General features: G+C 38.5%; 1 annotated feature.

Moving 5' to 3' along the window:
• Positions 4,544 to 5,086: an enhancer, noted in NCBI's record as "NANOG hESC enhancer chr8:35803026-35803568 (GRCh37/hg19 assembly coordinates)". NCBI's record gives its function as "activates a minimal SCP1, AML or CMV promoter by ChIP-STARR-seq in naive and primed H9 embryonic stem cells {active_cell/tissue: H9 hESC(naive and primed)}" and the evidence as "EXISTENCE:reporter gene assay evidence [ECO:0000049][PMID:30033119]".

Raw genomic sequence — 6,824 nt, forward strand, 5'->3', positions numbered from 1 at the left:
TTTGAAAATATTCTCTTGTGGAATAATAAAAAAAGATGAATTAGAGCATAAAAGAATGAGAAATACGTAAGCAAAAATGAGATAATAGTTGGTAAGCTATGCTGATAAAAGGTGAAAGAAAAATAAGATAATGTTATGGGCCATTACATGTAAAAACAGAATACAAAAGAGGGAGCTCTCCAGCAAGTAAATCATTCCCATTTTATTCTAAACAAGCATATAGGAAATAGCAAAGATGATTATCTCATGTTTAATAAGCAGCAAGCTGATTTTTTGTTTCCAGTTTCTTTGAAGATGCAATCTTTTAAAATAATTGTTTTCCCTTTTTTCCTCTGAGAGTGGGAGGTAGATTCTCCACATTCTCTGCCGAAGCTACCCTGTTTTCTTGTAATTGCAAGATCTGCTTCAGAGGCACTAAATCCATGGGAGAGGGGTGCCAGGACATTAGCACATTGTGAACATCTGACCCCTGATTGGGGGAAATGATGAAAAATTAATGGGTACAGATGTGTCCATCCTGCAGTGGACAGATGTTCACTTTACACACCATTTAGAATTCCCTGGTGTGTTTGACTATAGGTTGATGAACACAACAGCTAAATGATATAAGGAGCAGCAAAAGTCCTAGAAAAAATAAAAGTTTACTCTTGAGCAGGGCAACATTGTTCTCCATCAACCAGTACTGGGATAACTGAGAGCCCTCTGTTTGGGATGGGGCAGATGTCACACTCAAACTGACTGGGAATATCCTAACTCATGTGTTGCTCTCCTCAGAAAATGAGTCACTTTTAAATGTTTAGGCAAAGTCTAGGGCAGGTGAAGCTTATTTGTTTAATTTGGTGACCACTGGCTACCATCCATGGACATTTGTCAGATGAGTGTTTTGGTCAGAGTAGGCTGTGCTTCTGCAGAGTACCATACTTCCTGGATTTTTTTCAAAATGTGTAGATACCATGTAATACCCATTCCAATAAACATGTAAACAATTATGTTTTTTCTTGAATAACCTTACAGATTAATTTACAATTTCCAAGCAGAAAAAATCTTCTGTGACAACATTTGTGCCCGATTTGTTTAAACCCAACCCCACAAAGGTTTTAAAATAAGGTATAACACTGAAGATCTTTGTCATTCAATAAGTATTTGGTGAATATTTACTACATGCCGAGGAATGTACTGAGGAGAATATTGTAACACATATTATGCAACATCTAATATATAATGCATAAAATAATATATACAATATAATTATATGTTACTATCTGAACCTGTATTTGGTACATTTCCTATGTCACTAAATTCTGTATAGAGGGTGTTTGTGCATTGCCCAGGTGTTCAGTCCTTAGTTATATGGCAGAATCTGTGCAGCTACGTATGAAGTGTGCTGAAAGGGACACTTGGACAATAATTGCAATAACATTTCAGGAAAAAAAGGAGATTAATATGGTCTAAAACAAACAAGAATGGCTTTGTGGAAGAGAAATTATAGAGAGAGAGGATAAGAGAGAGGATAAGTAAAATGATAAACCAATTTTAAGGAATCACTTCCCCAACTCAAACTTAACTCTGTCAGTGTCATATCAAAAGAGGCACACAGATTAAATGAAGCATGGGGAATAACTGTTAGAGGCAGTCTTGGACATGATTGTATCCTTACATGAGGTAGTCATTTGAATTCATCTCTAGGTTGCTGAGCCATGAACCAAGAGTTTAAATCAAGAACTGTATGTCTTTACTTTGTCCAAATAGGGCTCTTTTGTAGAGCAAGAATATTTGAGATGTCCCAGAAGAGGTCACTTTGGAAAAACCAAAGTATAAAAATAGCATCTATGTTTAAAGGTTAAATAAAAAAATAAACATATCTATCTGAAGAAAAGAAGGCTTGATGATGAGATAATAGTTTTTTAGGTTCCCTACTAAAACTGGAAAAAGAGGATAGATGCTTAAATCAAATAATGCAGGAAGTTGGATCAAAGTAGATGTGTCATTACAGTAGATTAGAACCCTAGAATGTTCTAAAAAAAACAATATTTGAAATCCACTTCCTTTAAAATAGGACAGGTGTTCCTCTAACTGGAATAGTTTATGAACCATGCTGTCTAAAGACAGAGAAAATGAATGAATGAATGAATGTTTGGAGCTTTCTTGAAGAAATGGAATCCTAGGAGACTAAGGAACAAAGGCATTCAGTAAAGCCCACAGTATAGTTATTTCTTACAACATTTCTCAGATCACATAATCTAAAATTTTCTCTCCTTTTATTCCTCTTGCTGATGTATCATCCTCATGTACTTCTTTCACTGCTGTTATAGATAATTGGTAGCTTTGGTTTTTTTTTTTTTCACTAGTATAGTGCTTCTTCCCCAATAAAAAGGCAAGATTCTGAGTGCAGGGGTCTGGCTATTACCTCCCCAACACATAATGCCTTGTTTTGTACATAGCAGATGTTCACTAAATACTTATGGAAAACAGCACCACACACGTCTTTGCTAAAGTGATGAGGGAAATGAAGTAAGATAGAATGAGAATATAGGATTCTCTCTTTACTTGAGAAAAGTCTTATTGGAATTACTTCAAATTTCTGCTGCCTTTTGCAATGACATGGAGGGCAGAGTGGCAGCCAATATTCCTCTGAATGAAAACTCAGATGCCGCGTAGGCTATCTCCTTCTAGGTTTTCTGACGATCATTAGGTAACTCCTGGTCTGATTGTTTTTGCTTGAGGAGTTGACCGCCTTTCCTGAAATTATTATTATTTTTCTCTTCTATTATGCTTGTCCAATGTAGCACTTATACTTTAATGCCTTACAGATAAAATGGTCTCTGTCAGTCTGCACTTCTCATGCCTGGAGAAAGTTTTACTGCTTCATAAACTCCTGTAATGCCCCAGGGTTTAAAAAACATCTATCACTCCATCAGTGGGTCTTTATGGGCTCCGTGTACATTATTATTATTATTATTATTATTATTATTATTATTATTATTATTATTATTATTTGAAATGCAAGGTTGGTTCCTGAAGCAAAAAAGAGACAGAGATAAATGGATTTTTGTATGCTAATAAATGTGAAGAATCCAGCTCAATTTATGCTGAGGTGGTATTAAATAGCTAAAGCAAATTGTAGAATATTTCACAAGCAATAGCTTTAGGCACTAGGAAGGAACTGTAATGTAAGATTTCCTCTTTATCAGTGATTACAGAAATATAACTATTTTATTCACTGGTTTGGGCTGGAGAATCTTTATAGTTGTTGTGTCTTGATTTTTTCCCTCCTGACAGATGCTCAGAGGCCCCATGCCTGATGAGTCAGTGGACAGGGGACATTGAATATGACCTGCTTCTGCCACCCATTCCACACCAAACAACTCTGTGTGACCTACAAAATCTTAAAGGCATCTTTTCAAGATGTAAGCTGAAGGAAGATATGTCAGATTTCAGGCATGAAATTTATTTCTCTAATCCATTTTAGGACTGTGTTAGCCACAAGCTGAAGATTTCTGTCAAGGATGTTTATGCAAGTGTGTGTGTGTGTGTGTGTGTGTGTGTGTGTGTGTGATTATGCACATAGGAACATGAGTGCACTGGGGATGTCTGTATGTGTGCAGGTGACCCCGAATGGCCTGGCGAAAAGGTGTCTTATCCATAGTGTTGGAGGTCCCAAGTTGCAACTTCTCTCTGAGAAGCTGCTGAGTCACTGCCTGCAATGGCTGTGAGTGTGGGCAGCAATTCAGTCTCCTATCATCCCAGGCATCTGCAGGGAGAATAAGAAAAGCTTCACCTGTCCTGTGGCCAGGAAGGTGGGAATAGCTTGATTACTTGTTGGTGGTACTCATACCAAATAAGCATGTAACTGCCACTTCACTCCCTATTTCTCTACTATGGTACACGGAAACCTTATTTTCAGAAGCTTTCAGTGAGTAAATGAGCATCTGTTTCTGCACTGCTGAACAATTTGTCGTATTTTGTTCAGAAAGTATTTACTAAGTAGTTTATTTATGCTCTGTACTTTGATAACAGCTATAATGAACAAACATATAACAATAGTAACAAAAAATGGGAGTGGGTGCAGGGATACTTGGGTAATTTTAGCCAAATAATGAAAACAAATAACACAGAAAGCTGGCACATGGGAACCCGGCAGCTCCTCCAAGATTGTTCCCTTGAAATTAGATCCATCTCACAAACTTTGCATCTCTACAGCTTGCTAGTGTGTATTGAGCAAGTGCATAAGGCGCACCCTTTGCTTGTCCTCCTCCAGGTGCAAGATCAAAAACCAAAGCATAAAACACAAACACAAGCCACAGAAGAGTTTATTTCTGACCCCAAATGATGTGATTTTTAAAAGGGAAAGAGAAGTAATGGTCTGTTAGTATTGATAAAAAGTGAGTGCAGTGGGAGGAAAGTAGAAAAAATGTTATCTTATGTACTTTCCAGGGTTACTGCATCAAGAAAGAGTATACGTGTACATGGACTTTGTAAAGTGGATTACACTTTGCAAGGTAGTCATTATGTGTTAGGTGTGAGGAGTGCAGACAAATGACAGATAGGAAGTTGACTCAGGTGTAAGTGATGCTTGCAGAAAGAGTGCTAAAGAGGAACATCTCCTGTCGGGAGCATGTACAGTGCTTGCTTGGCCTTGATGTTCTCTGGCCCATGCTCTTCCTACTTGCAAAGCACCAAGCACCGACCAGCACAAAATTGGGACCCAATAAAAGCTGACTTGTTTGACTGTTTTTTATATTATTAGCATTGAAATTCAAATCATGACCTTGTAATCTCTGAAAAGCAGTATCAGACCCCCAGCTGAGGTCACTCCAAGATGTGACACAACAAAAGACTTTAGAATAAAAGCATCGATTTACAAGCCTATAGGTGCAATCCAACCATGAGTGATGCTGAAAACAAAAAGCACATATTGCAGTCTTTATACCAAACTATTTGGGTGTGGGGAGAGCTTTTCTGCACCTGCGTTAATGAGCTCCATTCTGGTTGCTATGTATCAAGGAAGATATGACATAGCTGGAGTGTCAGTCCTTGCCTGAGGACCAGCTGTCAGAAGGATCAAAAATCTGCTGTCTTGAGCATGAGTCAATAATTGCTGAGACTGCCATCCTGTTACAATAGGGTCTGATTAATCTGCTGCCTGGGTAAATCTTCCCTGGAATGGCTCATCCCTCTAATCCTATGGACAGAGTCCAATCTCCATGCCTGCATTTCTCTCCTGGTTTCTGGTCTGTTCACTAGCTCCTTTGACAGGTGGGAGCCTAGTCCAGTTCTACGACTTGAGTCCTCTCCCTCTCTGCAGAGGATAGACACAGCTAACAATGCCTTCAGTTCAACTGGGGGCCCAGCTTCATTCAAAAATTTCTCTATTTAATAAGATGGTTTTGTTCTGGATTATGTTTTTTTCCCCCTTAGATTTACAATGAGTAAGCACTGAAAAATGTGTTGTTGAAAAACTAGTAGAGAATGTTCTGCTTCTTCAAATGTGGAGGTTTGAATTTTTATTTTCTGAATAACTGTTCTCCCAAAGACTTCACTAAAATAGTTATGATTAAGAATTCCGATCTCAAAGCAGAGGCAGAAAATTGGTATCTGGGGGAGATCATGTTCTTTTGGGAGAGGCTTATTAATGTAAGCTGAAGGCTGAGGAGGAAAACGGACACAACTCCAGTTCTCTTTTTGGTCCATTGAACTGGATGGGGGGCTCTATGATTGAGAGATGAGTACTCTTAATTGTGAAACTCTTTATGAGAAAAATTTACGGGTCTCTATTCTTGAGCAAAGCTCTTTTGGCAGGCAACAAAATATGACACAGCATTAGCAAGAAAGCTGCTCTCTGTGCTTCTGCGCAGAACTCAGCTCTGCTTTTGTTCCCTGAGAAATGGCAGCTTTGGGATGGACCAGCTGAGACTGCACCCCTGTCTCAGGTATTGCAGTCTCCTGATGATCACTCCGAGCAGTGGGGCAGGGGAGACTTCATGGGATATAACAAGTGGGACCAATGTAGAAGAGGATGTATGTCATGTGGTGTTTGCAGCCAAATGATCGGTCTTTGGGCACATGTGAGGTACCACTTAGGAAACCACTGGGAAAACTGAAGAGGGTATATATCAAGCTATTTTGATGCTACTGGGCCAAGAGAACTTAACTTGCACCTAAAGCCACAATTCTACCACCTATTTGATGAAGACAGATTGTTGTTGTTTGGTGAATCCTACTGCTCATTAAATAGGCATTTAGATCATCAGCACCAATTTTCATCTACCTTAAGCCTGCTTTGGGCATTAGTTGGGTTGGGTCTGCTGATAAGCAGACTAATTCTTGGAACCATAGGCCAAACATTGTTCCATTTCTGGGTTCAAAGCCTATAGATTCATTATATGGAATACATTTGGTAAGATAATCTGAAATGATTGAGAGATTATAGGTTCAAGGGCTACCATGTGAAGGGATATAAATGGTGAAGAGTCTTAAGTATATAAAGACAAAGCAAAAGGTGATATAATAACATATCTATGAAAAAGCAAAGTGCATAATTAGACGTGTTTATGAAAGCATAGGCTAAAAGAATTATGAAACTTCACTGAAAAGTTAAAACAAAGGCGTGTAACAGAAAATAGTATGTACTTCATTAGTATCTCAACATAGAAAGTAATACATAACTTGTTAACTTGTCATAGAGCCTTCAGCCATTTTTTTTTTTTTTTTGAGCGTTGAAAATATATTTTAAAGTGGGGCACGGTGGCTCACGCCTGTAATCCCAGCACTTTGGGAGGCCAAGGCGGGCAAATCACGAGGTCAGGAGATAGAGACCATCCTGG

This window comes from Homo sapiens, chromosome 8 (assembly GCF_000001405.40).
Source record: "Homo sapiens chromosome 8, GRCh38.p14 Primary Assembly".
In the NCBI taxonomy this organism is placed as follows: domain Eukaryota; kingdom Metazoa; phylum Chordata; class Mammalia; order Primates; family Hominidae; genus Homo; species Homo sapiens.